The sequence below is a fragment of the Homo sapiens genome, chromosome 10 (assembly GCF_000001405.40).
Source record: "Homo sapiens chromosome 10, GRCh38.p14 Primary Assembly".
NCBI classification, from domain to species: Eukaryota; Metazoa; Chordata; class Mammalia; order Primates; family Hominidae; genus Homo; species Homo sapiens.
In genome coordinates, this window is record NC_000010.11 from 80077660 (window position 1) to 80100056 (window position 22397).

General features: G+C 42.1%; 1 protein-coding gene and 1 long non-coding RNA gene across 24 annotated transcripts in view; one reads left to right on the forward strand and one right to left on the reverse strand.

Annotated features, from left to right (window-relative positions):
- TMEM254-AS1 (TMEM254 antisense RNA 1) overlaps window positions 1-1534 on the reverse strand; it is a 32961-nt gene extending 31427 nt beyond the window's left edge. For all 5 annotated transcript variants that reach the window (NR_027432.1, NR_027431.3, NR_027429.1 and 2 more), the window contains exon 1: window positions 1068-1534. This is a non-coding gene — a long non-coding RNA (TMEM254 antisense RNA 1). The remainder of the gene's footprint in view (window positions 1-1067) is intronic.
- On the forward strand, window positions 1006-14892 carry TMEM254 (transmembrane protein 254). 19 transcript variants are annotated; one of them, NM_001270370.2, is made up of 6 exons: window positions 1006-1127; window positions 4182-4285; window positions 4486-4545; window positions 8572-8599; window positions 12721-12772; window positions 13138-14892. In NM_001270370.2, the coding sequence occupies exons 1-5, from the start codon at window positions 1041-1043 to the stop codon at window positions 12751-12753; spliced, it is 312 nt and encodes a 103-aa protein (NP_001257299.1). In that variant the 5' UTR covers window positions 1006-1040; the 3' UTR covers window positions 12754-12772; window positions 13138-14892. The 19 variants fall into 19 exon arrangements, 15 of the variants coding, with proteins under 15 accessions (NP_001257299.1, NP_001257300.1, NP_001257302.1 ...); NM_001270371.2 differs by lacking the exons at window positions 8572-8599; window positions 12721-12772 and adding an exon at window positions 3981-4075; NM_001270373.2 differs by lacking the exon at window positions 8572-8599.
- Window positions 14893-22397: the final 7505 nt, after the last annotated feature.

A 22397-nucleotide genomic window follows, 5' to 3' on the forward strand; every position in this document is an offset into this window, starting at 1 on the left:
AGCAGTATTGATAATCACCCACACTTACAAAGCACTATGGGCCAGACACTGCTGTGCTTTCTTTACAGATATCAACTCATTTAACCCACCCTAAAAACCCTGAGGTTCCCAAAACTGGCATATCCTCATGTTACAGATACAGAAACTAAGACACAGCCGGGCTAAGTAATTAATCTAAGCTTACACAAATAGCCGAGACAGAGCCAGGACTTAAATCCAGGCAGCCTGTTTCACAGTCCCTGCTCATAACCATGGTGCTGTATAGTTCCAAACATCTTAACTAATGAGGACAGCATTATTTCTCAAGGTGCACAGCACAGAGAACTTCAAAAATTAGACTCTTAGTAAAACACCATCTTTTTTTTTTTTTTTTGAGACAGGGTCTTGCTGTGTTGCCCAGGCTGGAGTGCAGTGGCGTGATCTGGGCCCACTGCAACCTGCACCTCTCAGGTTCAAGAGAGTCTTGTCTCAGCCTCTGGAGTTGCTGGGACTACAGGCAGGCACCACCGCGCCCAGCAAATTTTTTGTATTTTTAGTACAGACGGGGTTTCACCATGTTGACCACGCTGGTCTCAAACTCCTGACCTCAAGTGATCTGCCCGACTCGGCCTCCCAAATTGCTGGAATTTATTCCAACACCTCATTCATTCATTCATTCATTCGAGACAGAGTCTAGCTATGTTACCCGGGCTGGTCTCAAACTCCTGGGCTCAAGGGATCTTTCTACCTCAGCCTCCCAACGTGCTGAGATTACAGGGACACGCCACCGCGCCAGCCCGAACATCTTTATCTTAAACCCAGAAAAGTGACAGGAGTGTCTCCCCTACAAGATGATGACCAGCCCTCCAGACCTGAGCCCAGGTGTGATTCCAAGGCCCCTGTACTGGGGCCAGACAGGGAGACTCGCTCTCAGGGACTTCCCAACCAGCACCATCTTCTCCCTGCGGGGATGGCGAGGGAGCGCGGGCCGGCCCCGGCCCTGCCTCCGCGCTCGCGCTCGACGGTGTCCTGAAGCGCGCTCCCGGGGAGGTGTTGCAGCCATGGCTACGGCAGCCGGCGCGACCTACTTTCAGCGAGGCAGTCTGTTCTGGTTCACAGTCATCACCCTCAGCTTTGGCTACTACACAGTAAGGACAGCCGCTGGAGCGCTACGGTCTGACGAACGAGCGAGCGCTCGGTTCACCCCAGGACCTGGGCTCACAGGCCGCGGGCCGGGGGAAGTCGTGCAAGCACAATCCCGACTCCCGCGCGCTAGGAGCGGAGGGGAGGGGACCAGACTCCGCAATGAGAGCAAGCATACTGGTCCGCCAGGGTCTTGGGCGGGCGCCCAGGGCCCTGAGAAACCGGCTAGCCAGGCTTTTCTTATATGGGGGCGGGGACGGCTGGGGAGCTCCCAGCCAACTCTGTGTCTGGGTTTTTCAAGAGGATGGTGAAGTCGGAGGCCAGCAATGCGGCTACCGCCTATTTCCGTCCAGCAAGACCCTTGCCCTCTCTGGTCACAGTCCTGGGGCTGGGCTACTTCGCGGTGAGGCGTGGGGTGGGGCGGGGCGGGCCTCTGTTTTGGCCCGCCGGGCCCTCGTAGGGCGAGGGGAGCTCTGGGAACGGGGCCTGTGCGCACGCGCATCTGACGGTTGTCTCGGTTACTCATGTAAGCGGAAATTCGGTGGGCTCTTAGGATAGTTTCTGCTTTCTAGTGTTCCTGTCTTTGGGTCCTCACCTCTGCATGGTTACTAACGGGTTATCCGAGCCTAAGCCTCTCACGAAGCGGAAAGTCAAGTTAACAGACTGCCATAGGCCTGCCAAGTCAGAATAGGGCTTCCGAAGCAGAATGTTTGAGCCAATAGGAATTGTTTGGAAAACGGGGATAAATCTAAAGGATGGGTAGGATTTAAGTGGTAAGGGAGGATAAAGAGGCTATAACTGTTCTGACATAGGTGTGGAAGCAAGAAGAAAGCTGTACCTAGAAAAAGAGCGACGTTTGTTTGGCTGAGAAATAATCTGTTTAAAGGATAACGAGAAAGATGCGTGGAAAAGTAGGTTGGGGGCTAAGGTGGTAGTTTTGTGTTTTTTTGAGACGGAGTCTCGCTCTGTCACCCAGGCTGGAGTGCAGTGGGGCGATCTCGGCTCACTGCAACCTCTGCTTCCCAGGTTCAAGCGATTCTCATGTCTTTACCTGTAGCTGGGATTACACTATGCCCAGCTATTTTTTTGTGTTTTTAGTAGACATGGGTATTGGTGAGGCTGGCCTCGAACTCCTAACGTCAAGTGATAAGGTGGTAAAATTTTGAAGGAAGGCGAAGCTATTTGGGTATACCAATAGATCCTGGAGATTGGAGATTTGTCTTGTCCACAGTGTTGTTTGTTGGTGTCAAATCTGACAACCTATGTCCTGATTTCCCCATATGTACAATGGAGGTGTTGAACTGAAAATTTTCAAAGGTGCATTTCTGTTCTACGATTTAGTGTCTGTGACTAGTTAGAATATAGTTGGAGGAAAGCTTTGGGGACTTCAAATTGGGATCTTGTGGAGCTGGCAGATGCTCCCCTTTCCCTTTGGTTTGGGAGGATGCAGTGATATTTGTGCATTATTTAACTTTCAGATGTGAAACAACATCGTGAGAGAGGTAGTACTGCTCTTGACAAAGATTTGAATGGGACAATACATTTTGAAACTGTTGAGTTATTCTCAGAAAAGTCTTAGCTGACAGAAGTTACAATACAGAGGCTGAAAGTTAAGATTACGAAAAATTTATGTGATTAAGCAGTTGCTATTAAAATGTCACAACCTTATCTCACTTATTTTCCATCTCTATGCAGTGGATCATTCTCAGTTTTAGCCGTACAAAAAGGGAAAGCCGAGAAAGGAATTCTAAATTAAACAGAGGTTTGGCTGGAGCCAGTTTCTGCAGTAAAGAAACTAGCCAAAGCACATAAACTCAAAATTTGCTAATATCTTTTATAAAATAATGGTTTTGGTGGAATGTATTAATAGGAGTCAGCCAGGCATGGTGGTTCACCCCTGTAATCCCAGCACTTTGGGAGGCCGAGGCGGGCAAATCGCTTGAGCCCAGGAGTTCGAGACCATCCTGGGCAACATGGCAAAACCTCATCTCTACACACACACACACACACAAAATTAGCCATGGGCAGTGGCTCACACCTGTAATCCCAGCACTTTGAGAAGCCGAGAAGGGCGGATCACCTGATGTCAGGAGTTGGAGATCAGCCTGGCCAACATGGTGAAACTCTGTCTGTATTAAAAATACAAAAATTAGCTGGGCGTGGTGGCATGCACCTGTAGTCCCAGCTACTCTGGAGGCTGAGACAGGAGAGTCGTTTGAATCCGCGAGGCGGAGGTTACAGAGAGCCGAGATCGTGCCACTGCACTCCAGCCTAAGCGACAGAGTGAAACTCCATCTAAAATAAATAAATAAATAAATAAATTAGTCAGTCGTGGTAGCCATGCCTGTATTCCAGCTACTTGGGGAAGCTGAGTTGGGAGGATCGCTTGAGCCCGGGAAGTCAAGGGTGCAGTGAGCCGTGATCAGGCCACTGCACTCAAGCCTGGGTGACAAAGCGAGATCCCTTCTCTACAAAGAAAACAAAAGAAGAAAAGGAAGAAAAAAAGACTTTAAGAGTCATCCACCGTGGGCACTGAGTCTGATAACCACATACTTTCCTCAGCATAAGTCTCCCAGTAGAGTTGCTTTTAGAAAATAGAAGTCATCCTGGCACAGTAGGTCATGCCTGTAATCCCAGCACTTTGGGAGGCCAAGATTGGAGAATTGCTTGAGCCCTGGAGTTGGAAACCATCCTGGGCAACATAGTGAGACCCCATCTCTATATACAATTTTTAAAAGTAGCTGGGCATGGTGGCACACACGTGTAGTCCCATCTACTTGGGAGGCTGAGGTGGGAGGATGGATTGAGCCCAGATGGTGGAGGCTGCAGTGAGTCATGATCATGCCACTGCACTCCAGCCCCAGCAGCGGAGTGAGACCCTGTCAAAAAAAAAAGAAAGAAAGAAAATAGAAGCCAAGAATGGAGACCCAAATGACTGTTCAGAGTTTCTTCGGTCTGTGGTAATTTTTTTACTGTTTCACAGCCTTTCTCAAAAACAAAAACAAAAAACAGGTTTTAAGTGACCTAATAGGTATTCTGTGTCTCTGCTTCTCTTTCAGTGGGTTGTCTTCTGGCCTCAGAGTATCCCTTATCAGAACCTTGGGCCCCTGGGCCCCTTCACTCAGTACTTGGTGGACCACCATCACACCCTCCTGTGCAATGGGTAAGGAGAGCTGCACAAGTGGACTGTGGACACTGGAGCTCTGGTCTCATGGGAAACCTGGAAGGCCTGCAGCTGCCTTTTGGTATCTAAGAGTAGTGTCGGTTCACCTTAAGGCACTTTTCTTTTTGAGATTGCTGTGTTAGATTTCATCAGCAGATAACTATCACCTTAAAAAAGATTAACCTTTTTTTTGGTTTCAGGTATTGGCTTGCCTGGCTGATTCATGTGGGAGAGTCCTTGTATGCCATAGTATTGTGCAAGTAAGTCTTTGAAGTAGGTGTTTGTTGCCTTTCTCTTAGTAGCTAATATAAATTGAGAGCAGCCACATTTAAATAGTTCACACACTTGTAGGCTGAGAATATTCTCAGGGTAGAGCGGAATCCCCATGCCTGATACTGAGCCTGGAGCAGAGGCAGTACCCAGTAAATGTTTGATGAATGCATTCATTTTGTTTATGTTGGTTAACCAATTACTTAGTTATCTAATTCAGATGACTTTTGTTATTTTTTAACAAATTTTCTGGGTAGCCCCAACTAGATCAAAAGACTAGGAATAGGAGCCTGGCTTCTAGTTTACAAAAGAGCTAAGTGACTGACCTAGGCCGATGACTCACAATCCTCGTTTTACAATTGAGCCACCTGAGGAGCTTTTTCAAAATACACACGTCTGGTTTCCAGACCCAGAGATTCTGATTGGGTAAGTCTTGCCTCAGAGATAGGAATGTGCTCTTTTTAAAAGCTCCACAGATAATTCTAGGATGCAATGCTAGTTAAAAGCCCCCAAACCAGACCCCACTCAGGAGATGCTAGTATAGGTTAATGCTATGTGAGAATACAAGAAAAAATTATGTTTGTACTTTATATAAGCATATACAGAAAGTATGGTACAATGAAAAACATGGTTATGGAAATGCCAAATTGCTTCTTTCCAATTAATTTCTGGTCAAGATAATAATTAATTGAATTAATTTCTGGTCAAGATATACTATCACCTCTATTATTTTTCTATTCTAAAAGTGGAAAATAAGATACTGTATTGCTATTACTATGTTTCAATAATAAAAATAATATTGATTGGGTACTGCTATGTCAGAGACTGCTAAGTATGTTAAATAGAATGATCTTACTCTGTTTTCTTGTTTATTAAACAAATAAGCTAGACTTTTTTTTTTTTTTTTTTTGAGAGGGAATCTTGCTTTGTCACCCAGGCTGGAGTGCAGTGGCGCAATCTTGGCTCCCTGCAATCTCTACGTCCTGGGTTAAAACGATTCTGCCTCAGCTTCCCCAGTAGCTAGGATTACAGAAGCCCACCACCATGCCTGGCTAATTTTTGTATTTTTATTAGAGACGGGGTTTCACCATGTTGGCCATGCTAGTCCCGAACTCCTGACCTCTCAGGTGATCCGCCTGCCTTCGCCTCCCAAAGTGCTGGGATTATAGGCATGAGCCACTGTGCCTGGCCACAAGCTAGACTTTCTATGAAGAGGAGCAGAAAGTAACTTTATTCTTTCTTTCTCACCCCTCTCCAAGTAAATTTGTTTTGTAGATCGTTCCCCACCTTCCACCGTATCTCTGGATGGAATTTCAAACAGATCGTAGGATTTCCAGTCACCATCTGATATTATCTATTCTAGCCCAGTCTATTGTTAAAACTATAAACTTTCTTCTAATTCAAAATGTCTGTTTTCATCCAGCTGGGGCTCAGGAGCCTGCAGTGGGGAGAAGGGTGCAGTTGATATCTTCTCTTGCACTTCACCTTCTCCTCTATTCACTAATAATCGCTGCTTGTGGTCCCTTGGGATAGTGGGAATAGTTAGGGAGAACAAGGCTCAGCCTTAAATAGCTGCTGCTGGCCAGGTGCAGTGGCTTACACCTATAATCCTAGCACTTTAGGAGGCCAAGGTGGGCAGATCATTTGAGACCAGGAGTTTGAAACCATCCTGGCCAACATGACAAAACCCCATCTCTACTAAAAATACAAAAAATACTAAAAAAGCCAGGCATGGTGGTGCGTGCCTGCAGTCCCAGCTGCTCAGGAGGCTGAGGCACGAGAATCGCTTGAATCCGGGAGGCAGAGGCTGCAGTGAGCCGAGATCGCACCACTGCACTCTAGCCTGGGTGACAGAGCAAGACCCTTTCTCAAAAAAAATAAAAGTTAAAAAAAAACAATAAACAGCTGCTGCCTTGTGATCAGGCAGCTAGGTACTGTGTATATTGCATATCCAGTATTGGCTCTTTCTCTCTAGAGGGGATGTGGTAGATTTTTGAGACACTACTCATCACCAGGGATCTCCCTTCTGCAGTTTCCTTGATGGTTCATTCAGACACCCCCTCCAGCATGCCACTTGCAGTTTCACCCTCAGAGTCTGTGTTCTAGGGAGAATTACCCTTTTATTGAGATCACTTCCGTCCTTCAGGTGGGTCTGTGGTACAGGGTCCCTTTTAAACCTACTCATGTTCAGTGCCTTCTCCAGGATCTGTATGGCTCACAGTAAACAACTTCCGTATCCCTCCAGTGGGATAATCTACAAGTGCATGCAGTTATCAGTGTGGCGGTGCTTCCTTCTCTCCCAGCAAGCAGACCAAACAGTGTTTACTCTTTGGAATCAGATATTAAACCCTTCCCCAAATTCCAGAGACTCATGTCAAGCTCTACAAATGGTTCTGTTGAGGCCATTCTCTGGGCTTGACTTGTGGGAAATGCCACAGCCCACTAGGACCTCTTTCCAATGGCCTCTGCAGCATCGCAGTAGAATCTCAGATTGGAAGTGTCCGGTCCAGCCCCTCAACTTGGAATGTAGGAGTGCGTGACACCTATTTTGTTGTTGGCATTTGGAGTATCTGATGAAAACCAAAATACAAAAATTTTTATTTTTATTTTTATTTATTTTTTTCTTTTTTGAGACGGAGTTTCGCTCTGTCGCCAGGCTGGAGTGCAGTGGTGCAATCTCAGCTCACTGCAACCTCTGCCTCCCTGGTTCAAGCGATTGTCTGGCCTCAGCCTCCCAAGTAGCTGAGATTACAGGCGCCCGCCACCAAGCCTACTTTTTGTATTTTTAGTAGAGACAGAGTTTCACCATGTTGGCCAGGATGGTCTTGATCTCTTGACCTCGTAATCCGCCCACCTCGGTTTCCCAAAGTGCTGGGATTACAGACGTGAGCCACCGCACCCGGCCCTCAAATTTAATATACAATTTTTTTGAAGGGCAGAGGGAGAACAGGCATAGAGGTTAGGTTACTCTTATGTTCTTGAAATCATTTATGGTCTAACATGTTAGAATGTATCATTAGTCACTATGAATCAGAATAAATATTCCTTTTGAATTATGAGATGAGTTGGGTACGGTGGCTCATGCCTGTAATCTCAGCACTTGGGGAGGCTGAGGCAGGCGGATCACCTGAGGTCAGGAGTTCGAGACCAGCGTGCCCAACATGGTTGAAACTCTGTCTCTACTAAAAATATGAAAAAAAAAATTAGCTGGGTGTGGTGGCACATACCTGTTACCCCAGCTACTCAGGAGGCTGAGGCAGGAGAATCGCTTGGACCTGGGAGGCGGAGGTTGCGGTGAGCTGAGATCGTACCACTACACTTTAGCCTGGGCGACAAAGTGAGACTCTGTCTCAAAAAAAAAAAAGACAAGAAAAAGAAAGTGCCATTTTTGGTGAGGTGAGGGGGCAAAAAACCTTTTGCTATTTTGGTAGATTAAAAAGGGTATCTAGCCATTTTAACCTGTATTTATTTGATTACAAAGTAAGGTTCAACTCTTCTTTGAAAGGTGCTGTAATTCTTGTTACATAACAATACTTTAACAAGAAAAATAGAATGTTTTTTCCTTAGGGATAAATAAAATAGTATCTCTTTGAGGCCAATATTCATGTTCATTGTTACCTTTTTATAGTCTGGAGTTCCATTCAGAATATATGGCTTATTCTCTTAGTTCAGAAATTAGATTCTTGCTGCTTGCATACCCCAGTTGGCTCTGCAGCCCTTAGAAAGGTTTTTAAGGTTTTGCAAAAATTTGTATGTAGAGTAGATTTTATTACAGTGTAGAAACAGAAAAGAAGTTCTTGACAAGTAGAAGTACTCTGTGACAGGGCAGCCTCGAATGACCAAAACAGGTAAATTGTGAAATTTTTCAAGTATCAGAGGTAACATTTTTTCTTAAGGCAGGAAAAAGTGTACTCACAAAGAGATTTTTGCATCTGCTTGGGTCTTGGTGGAATCATTAAGGGAAATGTGAATTAAATTAAGAAAACTTTCTTAAAAGACTTTTGTCTTTTAAATAGGCAAAATGAGCTAAGAATACGGATAAAGGTATGTGAATGAGAACAAGTTATGATGACCCCAGGAAAACCCTTCTCCGGGTTACCTAGCCACCAACTGTGACCCTTCTGAAGGAGGAGGAAACAAGCACTGCTGTTCAGTGAGCCTGCTCTTCCAAGATGGCAACTCATCTTTATTTTTCTTTACTAAATATCATACACATTTACAGGATCATATAAATTTACTTTCCAAAACAAAATATTTTTGTTGTTTTGCCTATTTCAAAACAAACATGTTTGTTTTTAAAAGTTAATAATGTTGTGCTAAAAACTCAGCTAATAAAATTGAAAGTTGGCTGGGCGCGGTGGCTCACGCCTGTAATCTCAGCACTTTGGGAGGCCAAGGCGGACGGATCACCAGGTAAGGAGTTTGAGACCAGCCTGGCCAATATGGTGAAACCCCGTCTCTACTAAAATACAAAAAATTAGCCGGGCATGGTGGCGGGCACCTGTAGTCCCAGCTACTCAGGAGGCTGAGGCAGGAGAATCACTTGAACCCAGGAGGTGGAGGTTGCAGTGAGCCGAGATCGCACGACTGCACTCCAGCCTGGGCAACACAGCAAGACTCCATTTCAAAAAAAAAAAAAAAATTGAAAGTTGCTGGGCATGGTGGCTGATGCCTATAATCCAATTATATATATATACATATAGATATAATCTCTTTCATAATTGGTTTCCATTGTTATATATGCCTGTTTTAAATTTTATTTTGTTTTTTAAGAGATGGGTCTCACTCTATTGCCCAGGCTGGCCTTGAGCACCTGTGCTCAAGTGATCCTCCTGCCTCAGCCTCCCAAGTAACTGGGACTACAGGTGTGCCACTGTACTGGGCTAACATATCCCTATTTGTCTATGTCTATACATATAAACTTACCCATCCATTAATAACAGTGCATAGTATTCTGTTACATAGATGTGCCTTAACGTATTTAAAAAATCTTTCTTCTGATGGACTTTTAAGTCTCTACTTTTTTACTATTACAAGCAATATGGCAGTGAACATTAATTTCTTGCATTTGTCCCACTTTGGTATTTGTTCCCTTAGAAAAAAATTCCAAGATCTGGAATTTGAAGATTAAAGAATGAATACTTTTGGCTGGGTGTGGTGGCTCACACCTGTAATTCCAGCACTTTGAGAGGCTGAGGCTGGTGGATCACCTGAAGTTAGGAGTGCGATACCAGCCTGGCCAACATGGTGAAACCCTGTCTCCACTAAAAATACAAAAAAAAAAAAAAATTAGCAGGGCGTGGTAGCGGGCACCTGTAATCCCAGCTACTCAGGAGGCTGAGGTAAGAGAATAGCTTGAATCTGGGAGGCGGAGGTTGCAGTGAGCTGAGATCACACCACTGCACTCTAGCCTGGGCAACAGAGCAAGACTCTGCCTAAAAATAAAACGAATGACTACTTTAAATTAAATGATATGTATTGCCATATTGCCTTCAAAAGTATGGAACTAATTTATTCTTCTAACATAAATATATGATAGTGCCCATTTCCCCACAATCTCACCAATACTCTTCAAATGGGCTGTCTGTCCTATTCTTACCTGTTTATAGGCACTCCTTGTTTTTTATGATCTTGAGTACTTTGTCCTTTAGGTGTCTTGCAAATATCCTTTCTCACGGTCTTTTTATTCTGTTGGGCCTTTTGATAAACAGAAGTTTATCAATGTAGTCAGTTTTATTAATTTATTGATATTAAAGTTATATTCTTTTACAGTATCTTCTAACAGTTTTAGAATTTTTTTCTTTCACATTTAAGTTTTCAGTCTACTTAGATCTTATTTTTTTTTAAGATCTTTACCTTTTCCATCTGGATGCCGTTATCCCAGAGCTACTTATTGAGACATTCAGTCTTCACTGATGTGCCCTATCTTATATCATACATACTGATATGTGTGGATCTATTTCTGAACACTCTATTCTGTTCCATTGGCCTGTTTATCCTTGGGCTAACACAACACTGTCTTAATAGCAGCAGCTTTATAATCATTGTTATCTGACAAAGCATCTCCTCTCATCTTGTTCAATAGGATTGCCTTTGCCTACACCTTTGCATATTCTGTGCATTGTCTTGTGCCACAAAAACAAAAAATAAAGATGTTGAGATTTTCATTGGATTGACCATGTGAAATAATTTGGAGAATATTGGCATATTTCCATTATGTTTTTTTTCTTTTTTTTTTCCTTAAGGTCAGGAAAGCATCAAATATTTCTATTATTGAGTCTTCTAAATGATGAAATGATCTGTTTCCATTTATTTAGATCTCCTTTAATATATATATAATTTTTAAGAGGTTTTACACATTGTTGTTACATTAATTTCCAGCAACTTCTACTTTGAGATGTTATTATAAATGACTTTTTTTTAAAAAAAGATGGAGGGTCTCCAGGAGGCTGAGGCAGGAGAATGGCATGAACCCGGGAGGCCCCGGAGCTTGCAGTTAGCTGAGATCATGCCACTGCACTCCAGCCTGGGCGACAGAGCAAGACTCCGTCTCAAAAAAAAAAAAAAAAGATAGGGTATCATTATGTTGCCAAGGCTGATGTCAAACTCCTGGGCTCAAGCGATCCACCTGCGTCGGTCTCCCAAAGTGCTGGAATTACAGGCCTGAGCCACCACACCTGGCCAACTTTTGTTGTTGTTTTTGTTTTTGTTTTTTGAGATGGAGTCTAGCTCTGTCGCCCAGACTGGAGTTCAGTGGCATGATCTTGGCTCCCTTTGTTTCATTTCATTTTCTAATTGTCTGATGGTACTTTGTATGAATATAGTCAATTTTTTATATTGACCTTATACCCAGCAATCTTGCTAAATAAATTTATTAATTGTAACAGTTTATAGATTATTTTCAGTTTTTAGGTATAAAACTGTCCAGAAATACAGTTTTATTTCTTTCTTTCAATTCTGTATACCTTTTATTTATGTTTCTTCCCTTATTCTACTAGCTAGAACTTCCAGCAGTGCTGACTAGAAGTGTGCCTTGTTCTTGACCTCAAAGGAGAACTTTCAACATTTTGCATCATGTTTATTATAGAGTTTTGTAGATCTCCTGTGTCAAAATTAGGAAGTTCCATTGTATTTCTAACTTTGCTGAGAAGTTTTATTAAAAATGGATGTTGGATGTGGATGCAGGTGGCTCACACCTGTAATCCCAGCACTTCGGGAGGCTGAGGTGGGAGAATCAGTTGAAGCCAGGAGTTCAAGACCAGCCTGGGCAACAAAGCAAGACACTGTCTCTACAAAAAACAAACAAAAAACCTAGCCAGGCATGGTGGTGCGTGCCTGTGATGATCCCAGCTACTTGGGAAGCTAAGGTGGGAGGATAGCTTTAGCCCAGGAGTTTGAGGCTGCAGTGAGCTATAATTGTACCAGTACACTCCACTGTAGGTGACAGAGTGAGACCCCATCTCTGGGGGGGTTGGAAAAAGAATGGATGTTGAAATTTGTCAAATGCAGCCGGGCGTGGTGGCTCACGCCTGTAATACCAGCACTTTGGGAGGCCGAGGTGGGTGGATCACGAGGTCAAGAGATCGAGACCATCCTGGCTAACACAGTGAAACCCCATCTCTACTAAAGAAATACAAAAAATTAGCCAGGCGTGGTGGCGGGCTCCTGTAATCCCAGCTACTCGGGAGGCTGAGGCAGGAGAATGGCATCAACCCGGGAGGCAGAGCTTGCAGTGAGTCAAGATCGCGCCACTGCACTCCAGCCTGGGTGACAGAGCGAGACTCCATCTCAAAAAAAAAAAAAAAAAGAAATTTGTCAAATGCCACTTCTGCATTTATTAAGATATTCATATGATCTTTCTGTTTTAATCTGTTACTGTAGAAAATTATATTGCTTTTACATATATTGTTTTTAAAGTTTGTTTTAAATAAAAGTCATCCAAGTGAGACTTATTTATGTACAGATGAGACTGTAGCAAGCCATTCCCTTCCATTGGGTCATCTTTTTTTTGCACTTCATTTTAGGCAGTTGAATTTGAATGACAATATAAGCAGGTGTTTATCATGACTGTGTGCCAGGCTCCTTCCTGAGCATGTTGTGTGTATTATCCCATAAATCATCTCAACTGACTCAGTGAGATAGCTACTGCTGTTCCTGTTTTTCAGATGAGAAAACTGATTCTGAGAGATTCTGAGTGATTTGCCCAGGTCACAGCTGGTAGGTAGCCACGCTAGGATTTATATCTGGTCTATTTGCAAAACATTTGCTCTGAAACCATACCAGTGCTTTTTACTCCATCCGCTCATCAGAATCACATGAGAAACAGTCTTATAATACTGTGCCCTAGACAGTAGCCAGACTAGTTCTCAGGGAATAGTTTACCATCCAAAATACATTTGTTAGAAAACAAGAAAGATGAAAAATAAATGAACCATCCAAGATAAGCCAGAGAAAAGCAGCAAAATAAACCCAATGAAAGTAGTGGAAGGTATAATTTAAAAAATATATATATAGAAGACAATAACTCCCATGAAACTGTAAGATTAACATCTCGTGTTTAAATTTTGTTTTTTCTGTTTTAGGCATAAAGGCATCACAAGTGGTCGGGCTCAGCTACTCTGGTTCCTACAGACTTTCTTCTTTGGGATAGCGTCTCTCACCATCTTGATTGCTTACAAACGGAAGCGCCAAAAACAAACTTGAAGTTGTCTGAAAGCTTGCTCTACACTTTTACATTCATCCTCACCCTTTTTTTTGTGGGGTAGAGGAGGTGCAGTAATTTACTCAGTGATCTTTCTACTTTCTAGAAACTGTCCTTCAAAGCTCTTTAAGACCCCCTCGTTAGTCAGTTTTTTCTCTTATATGCTCTGGTTGAGCTTGAATAGACCAGTTGTTACTTAAGAAAGAAACAGAGAAAGATTTTAGCTTTTCAATCCTATTTGGCAGAGGACTTCAGCTACCTTCTTACAGTCTTTGGCTGTGTTGGTACCCTCGTGTGCTCTGAGCTAAGCCACATACTAAACTGACTTTTTGGTTTGTATACCCTTGCTCCCGCCTTCTGATGAAAACACCTTACCCTCACAACCACCATCTTTCCTCTCCTTTCCAAAGCTCTTTCCACCTTGCTGCACTAAGATAAAGTGACACTTCCACTATATGTCAATTCCACACACATTTATTAGGTACCTGTGAGGTAGGATCCTATCCTCTCAAACTTCCATTTCTCATGCTACAGAGAAAGATAAGGAAGATGAGCAAGTGCCTGGAATGGGGCAGGCTGAGCAGTCACACAGGCATAGAGGCACGCTGAGAACCTGGAGGGGAGACTGCAGAGTGCCTTCCCTGATGCTGCAGCCGGAAGTGATCCTTCCCTCCACCTGGCCCCTGGGACACTGTGCTCTGCAGTGTGCAGGGCCTGATGGCACTGCTAGATTGCTCCTTCAGCTCAGGGCCACAGCTTAAACAGCTTTACCTTTCCCCTCAGCACCTGTCCCACTATCTTGCACACAGGTGCTCTAACCATGTTTATTGAACAAAGGAGGGAAACTGATTTCACTTTCACTTGTTCATTATCATTCCAATTTTTATGTGAAAATGGCACAACCCATTTGGGGTACCCTCACCCCAAAATAAAAGCCCAAGTCTACCTTTGACTGGTACCACCTTTTTTGTGGTTTCGTTGGTGAGAAACCTTTATCTTTTTCATACCTTTCTATTCTCAATCACTTCTCCAAAAGTGTGTCTTTCCAGCTCTGATTTATTCAAAACACAAGCATTTCTGTTTAGAGATTCTAGCCCATGGGTTATCTGGCTAGTTATTACCTCTCCTGTTCACTTAGTTATACTTTATTATTGCTCACAGGCTGGGGAGGCAGAATGACTCTGTCACCACTAGGAGCCATTAGGGCTTCTTCCCTGGAGGACTGCCTGCTTGCTTTCTGGGGACACTAGCCCTCATTTCCCTTCTGTGGTACAGTGGGGCAAATTATTTGTATTAAGCAAACATTTATGGGAAACAACCCGCTCCCGAAAACGGAGCCCCCAAGTAAAGCACAACCCTGAAAGATTATGAACTATGAATTGTCTCTGGTAGAGATAAATTTCTGCAAACATATCTCAGTCTTCCCTCTGTTTCTCTGGTGATTAAGAAGTTCCTTTTTGGTAAGGAAAAGGATTTTTAACCATAGAGTTAGGCATCATGGAAATTCAAACCAGATTTCTTAATACCTGGTCTTCCTCAAAGAGAAATAATAACAGTAATAGTGGTGCTGGGAACAATATGGCAGATTATTGAATGAAATTGATTAACTTGAATAAAATGCTGTGAATTTTCTCTAGCTGAATGCTTTTCTTGTATTTGTCAGTTTTAACATATTGATGCACATTTGATACTTTTTCTCAAATAGACTACTAGGGAACTGTTTATACACTTCAGATATCAGTTTGTTTTTCACTGATAAAGAAATGCAAAACACTGTGGTTGTCGGGTATATACGTACTATATTTTAGAACTGTCCATGTCCCACTTACCTCCTCCACATACAAGGAATCACTAGGGTGGACCTGAGTGTCTCCTTTTCATTGTAGGATTGTCTCCTTTTTGTTTCTGTTTTTATTCAACATTTGATAAAGTCTATGCACTAAGTAAGGAGTGTTCTGGCATTTTTTTAAATGCATGAAGTCCGGTATGCATCACTTAACAATGGGGATGCCTTCTGAGAAATGCACTATTAGGTGAGTGCATTGTTGTGCAGATATCATAGGGTGTACTCACAAACCAAATGGTAGAGCCGACTACACACCTAGTTTATATGATACAGTCTGTTGCCCCTAGGCTACAAACCTGTACAGCATGTAGAGTAGTACTGAATACTGAAGGTAACTGTAACACAGTGGTAAGCATTTGTGTACTAGCTTTTCTTTAGGATGGGATTAAAAATATATATATATATATATATATATATATATATATATATATATTTTGGGAGGCTGAGGCAGGCAGATCACCTGAGGTAAGGAGTTCAAGACCAGCCTGGCCAACATGGTGAAACCCCGTCTCTACTAAAAATACAAAAATTAGCCAGTCATGGTGGCAGGTGTCTGTAATCCTAGCTACTCAGGAGGCTGAGGCAGGAGGCAGGAGAATTGCTTGAACCCAGGAGGCAGAGGTTGTAGTGAGCTGCGATTGTAGCATTTCACTCCAGCCTGGGCAACAGAGTGAGACTCCGTCTCAAGCAAAACAAAAAAAATAGCTAAACATAGAAAAGATACTGTAAAAATGTGTTCCAATCCTATGGAACCAGTGTCATATGTGCTGTCTGTGATTGATCAAAACGTCAATATGCAGCCGGGTGTGGTGGCTCACACCTGTAATCCCAGCACTTTGGGAGGCCGAGGCGGGCAGATCATGAGGTCAGGAGATCGAGACTATCCTGGCTAACATGGTGAAACCCCGTCTCTACTAAAAATACAAAAAATTAGCCGGGCATGGTGGCAGGCGCCTGTAGTCCCAGCTACTCGGGAGGCTGAGGCAGGAGAATGGCATGAACCCGGGAAGCGGAGCTTGCAGTGAGCCAAGATCATGCCACTGCACTCCAGCCTGGGCAACAGTGCAAGACTCCAACTCAAAAAGGTCAATACACAGGCACGCCTGTATAAAATCCTATCATCTTATTTGGAGTATTATCATGGCTTAGATGTAAAGGGGGATCTAGTGAGCAAATGATGCAGATCATTCCTTTCATAGACCCATAAACATCTCAGCGAGGTGAAGTAACTTACCCAATATCACACAGAGATGCATGATTCTGGGCCTCATGTTGCCACCTCCCCCATCACCCCTGAGTTTAGTAGTAAGTCTGTGAAGCAAAAAATTTAAAAATGGAGACATCTTGGCTTTGTGTGGTAGTCATGGTGGTGATATGCGAGAAAGAGCTTTATGTTGCATTTGGATGAGAAAAGGCCAGAGGCATCTTGGTGGAAGCAACCATGGAAAAAAAACAGACTAAACTGTTTTCTTACCCACCCCTTAGATTTCCAAAGCACGTATAGTTTGGAAAAATAAAAAGAAAGGACCAAAAAAAAAAAAAAAAAAACTAATGACCTCAGAACTTAATAGCAGGCCCAATTTATAAACTAACCGTGTTTCCTACATTCAACATGTTTATGGTTCCATGCAGTCTAAGCATGGTTTATGAGCCATGGTGTTAACATAAACCTGGGTTAGGTTTAAGAGGTTATATTCCAGATGTGTGAAGAGGCTTCTTTGCAAAACAGCTTGCCATCTCAGAGAGCCCTTATATCTTTACACTGAAGGTCTACAAACAAACACAAAAGAGAAGTCAGAGAACCTGCAGTTGAGGTCAGAGAACACAGTGCAATCAAATTTTTATCTTGCTAGGGCCCTTTCTGGAGTCTCATTAATTAAAGCTCTTAGTTTAGCAACCTGGTTGTGAGTATTTTTCCTTTCTTGTCAGCACAGTGAAAAAAAATGCTAGTAGGGTAGGTGGGTAATACCCTTGTAAGACCATGGAAACGTTCTCTCTGCCAGGCTCCTTGTCCGCAACAAATTGTGAATTATGTTTCTGTTTTCATCCACACTGGACAATAAGAGTCTTTAATGTTCACATTTCTCTTCTTCAAAAGGAGATTTGTGCTCCGAATCCCCAGTAAACATTTGAAAACCCTATTCAAAATACTGTATTTGCAATTTCTGTGAAACATTTTAAGATGGCTTCCAAGTTTTTATAAAGGATTATAAAAATGCCTCATTTCTATTTGTAGTAAGTCATAATGTTGGATTAAGGGAAATACTTTTGGTATACAATGAATACTGTTCAGTTACATTGGTGTGGGAAATGGAAAAGTAATTTTTAAAAGTAAGAAAGACAAATGCTGTTGAGGAAAATATTCATGAAATAACTTTTACTTACCTTTTCCTTGTATTAATACATTGCACAGGATGAATCGCTACTAAAATTGATGAAATCTTAACATTGTTATAAATAAGAGGAATAGCATCTATAATATAAGGTAGGGAACAGTTCCCTAAATCTCAAGCACATAGAGGCCACCTCCACAACTTTAATCATGTCTACACTCCATCTGAATTTATTATTTATTATTTAAAGCAATTCACTTTTTTTTCTTTAGACTGAGTCTTGCTGTATTGTCCAGGCTGGAGTTGAGTGGCGTGATCTCGGCTCACTGCAATCTCCACCTCCCAGGTTCAAGCGATTCTCCTGCCTCAGCCTCCCAAGTAACTGGGATTACAGGTGCCCATCACCATACCCGGCTAATTTTTGTATTTTTAGTAGAGATGGGTTTTCACCATGTTGGCCAGGCTGGTCTCAAACTCCTGACCTCAAATGATCTGCCGGCCTCAGCCTCCCAAAGTGTTGGGTTTACAGGCATGAGCCACTGCACCTGGCCAGAAATTCACTTAAAAAAAAAAATTCCTAAACAAGAATAACTATGAAGTCCCAGGCTTGGTTTGTTCATTATATTTTTTCTAATACGTACGAGAAGAAAGGATAATTATTACCTAAAATACCATGCATACTAGGGATACATTTGACACACTTAAAAATCAGAAAGTATTACCCTACTAGTTGAGGCTGAAGCATGGGATTTAACCTGGCTCTAGCCACAGGATTTTAGACAAGTTTGTTTCTGTACCTCAGTTTCATCATTAAAAGAATTGATGTTTTAGACATGAAGCCTTTGCCCATGCCTATGTCCTGAATGGTATTGCCCAGGTTTTCTTCTAGGATTTTTATGGTCCTAGGTCTTACGTTTAAGTCTTTGATCCATCTTGAGTTGATTTTTGTATAAGGTGTAAGGAAGGGGTCCAGTTTCAGTTTTCTGCATATGGCTAGCCAGTTTTCCAACAACATTTATTAAACAGGGACTCTTTTCCCCATTGCTTGTTTGTGTCAGGTTTGTCAAAGATCAGATGGTTGTAGATGTGTGGTGTTATTTCTTGGGCCTCTGTTCTGTTCCATTGGTCTATATGTCTGTTTTGGTACCAGTACTATGCTGTTTTGGTTACTGTAGCCTTGTAGTAGAGTTTGAAGTCAGGTAGCATGATGCCTCCAGCTTTGCTATTCTTGCCCAGGATTCACTTGGCTATGCGGGTCTTTTTTGGTTCCATATGAAGTTTAAAGTAGTTTTTTCCAATTCTGTGAAGAAAGTCCGTGGTAGCTTGATGGGGACAGCATTGAATGTATAAATTACTTTGGGAAATATGGCCATTTTCGTGATATTGATTCTTCCTATCCATGAGCATGGAATTTTTTTTCCATTTGTTTGTGTCCTCTCTTATTTCCTTGAGCAGTGGTTTGTAATTCTCCGTGAAGAAGTCCTTCACATCCCTTGTAAGGTGTATTCCTAGGTATTTTATTCTCTTTGTAGCAATCGTGAATGGGAGTTCACTCATGATTTGGCTCTCTGTTTGTCTGTTATTGGTGTATAGGAATGCTTGTGATTTTTGCACATTGATTTTGTATCCTGAGACTTTGTTGAAGTTGCTTATCAGCTTAAGGAGATTTTGGGCTGAGACGACAGATTTTTCTAAATTATACAATCATGTCATCTGCAAACAGACAATTTGACTTTCTCTCTTCCTATTTGAATACCTTTATTTCTTTCTCTTGCCTGATTGCCCTGGCCAGAACTTCCAATATTGTGTTGAATAGGAGTGGTGAGAGAGGGCATCCTTGTCTTGTGCTGGTTTTCAAAGGGAATGCTTCCAGTTTTTTCCCATTCAGTATGATATTGGCTGTGGGTTTGTCATAAATAACTCTTATTATTTTGAGATATGTTCCATTGACACCTAGTTTATTGGGAGTTTTTAGCATGAAGCGGTGTTGAATTTTGTCAAAGGCCTTTTCTGCATCTATTGAGATAATCGTGGTTTTTGTCATTGCTTCTGTTTATGTGATGGATTACGTTTATTGATTGTGTATGTTGAACCAGCCTTGCATCCCAGGTATGAAGCCTACTTGATCATAGTGGATAAGCTTTTTGATGTGCTGCTGGATTCAGTTTGCCAGTATTTTACTGAGGATTTTCACATTGATGTTCACCAGGAAATTGGCCTGAAATTTTCTTTTTGTGTTGTGTCTCTGCCAGGTTTTGGTATCAGGATGATGCTGTCCTCATAAAATGAGTTAGGGAGGATTCCCTCTTTTTCTATTGTTTGGAATAGTTTCAGAAGGAATGGTACCAGCTCCTCTTTGTACCTCTGGTAGAATTCAGCTGTAAATCCATCTGGTCCTGGACTTTTTTTGGTTGGTAGGCTAATAATTACTGCCTCAATTTCAGAACTTGCTATTGGTTTATTCAGGGATTTGACTTCCTGGTTTAGACTTGGAAGGGTGTGTGTGTCCTGGAATTTATCCATTTCTTCTAGATTTTCTAGTTTATTTGTATAGAGGTGTTTATAGTACTCTCTGATGGTAGTTTGTATTTCTGTGGGATCAGAGGTGATATCCCCTATATCATTTTTTATTGCATCTTTTTGATTTTTCTCTGTTTTCTTCTTTATTAGTCTGGCTAGCGGTCTATCAACAAAAGCCAAAATTGACAAATGGGATCTAATTAAACTAAAGAGCTTCTGCACAGCAAAAGAAACTATCATCAGAGTGAACAGGCAACCTACAGAATGGGAGAAAATTTTTGCAATCTATCCATTGGACAAAGGGCTAATATCCAGAATCTACAAAGAAATTAAACAAATTTGCAAGAAAAAAAAACTCCATCAAAAAGTGGGCAAAGGATATGAACAGACACATCTCAAAAGAAGACATTTATGCAGCCAACAGACATGAAAAAATGCTCATCATCACTGGTCATTAGAGAAATGCAAATCAAAACCACAATGAGATACCATCTCACGCCGGTTAGAATGGCGATCATTAAAAAGTGAGGAAACAACAGATGCTGGAGAGGATGTGCAGAAATAGGAACACTTTTACACTGTTGGTGGGAGTGTAAATTAGTTCAACCATTGTGGAAGACAGTGTGGCGATTCCTGAAGGATCTAGAACTAGAAGTACCATTTGACCCAGCAATCCCATTACTGGGCATATACCCAAAGGATTATAAATCATTCTACTATAAAGACACATACACATGTATGTTTACTGTGGCACTATTCACAATAGCAAAGACTTGGAACCAAACCAAATGTCCATCAATAATAGACTGGATAAAGAAAATATGGCACATATACACCATGGAATACTATGCAGCCATAAAAAAGGATGAGTTCATATCCTTTGCAAGGACATGGATGAAGCTGGAAACCATCATTCTCAGCAAACTATCACAAGAACAGAAAACCAAACACCACGTGTTCTTACTTATAAGTGGGAGCTGAACAATGAGAACACATGGACATAGGGAGGGGAACATCAAACACCAGGGCCTGTCGGTGGGTGGGGGGCTAGGGGAGGGATAACATTAGGAGAAATACCTAATGTAGGTGACGGGTTGATGGGTGCAGCAAACCACCATGGCACATGTATACCTATGTAACAAAACTGCACATTCTGCACATGTATCCCAGAACTTAAAGTATAATAATAATAAAAGAATTGAAATGCCACTCAAAACCTGTTAGAACTTATAGACAAATTCAATAAAGTTGCAAGATACGAAGTCAAAATACAAAAATCAGTAGCATTTTCATACACCAACAACAAGTTATCCACAAACAGAAGGAAAGAAAGCAATCCCATTTACAGTAGTTAAAAAGAAGTTAAATACCTAGGAGTACATTCAACCAAGGAAGTGAAAGGTCTCTACACTGAAAACTACAAAACATTGGCGAAAGGAACTGAAGACGCAAATAAATGGAAAGACATGCCATGTTCATGTATTGAAAGATTTAATATTGTTTAAATATCCATACCACCCAAAGCAATCTACAGATTCAATGCCATCCCCATCATAATTCAAACAATACTTTTTCTCAGAAATTAAAAAAAAAAGTCCTGAAATTTGTATGGCACTTTGGGAGGCTGAGGCAGGTGGATCACTTGAGGTCAGGAGTTCGAGACCAACCTGACCAACATGGTGAAACCCCGTCTCCACTAAAAATACAAAAAGTAGCCAGGTATGCTAGCGCCCGCTTGTAATCCCAGCTACTCAGGAGGCTAAGGCAGGAGAATCGCTTGAACCCAAGAGGTGGAGGAAGAGAAAGAAAGAAAAAGAGAGAAGAAAGGAAAGATAGAAGAAAGAAAAAGAAAGAGAAAGAAAGAAAGAAAGGAAGGAAGGAAGGAAGGAAGGAAGGAAGGAAGGAAGGAAGGAAGGAAGAGAAGAAAAGAAAGGAGGGAGGGAGGAAGGGAAACTTTGTAAACTGTAACATGTAAAGCACGAGTAGTTTTCCTGGAAAGTGTGGGATTGCCCACGATGCAGCCTGTGCTCCTCAAACTTGACCACACGGGTGGATCACACGGGATCTTGTGAAAAGGGGAGTTCTGATTAAGTGTGGAGCCAGTAGGAGATTCTGCATGCTAGCAGGATCCCTGGTGATGTTAATGCTGCTGACCTGTAGACCACTTTGAGTAGCAAAATAGAGAAAATTTAAAACTACAAATCACATGGTTCAGCCTTGATTTCTGAGTCTTAGGGTTGATTTCTGTATGTACCAACACTGTCAATAAGAAAAACTGCTATGCACTGTTCCTGGGAGCTTAGTAGTTAATGCAAACAGTATTTGGAGTCATAACACAATCTGGCAAAGAGCGTTGTTCCAGGGCTGAAAATGCTGATGGAATTAACCAACTCACCTATCTGCATATTCCTCCCTCCTGGAGAAGAAAAATTAGGGATTGGG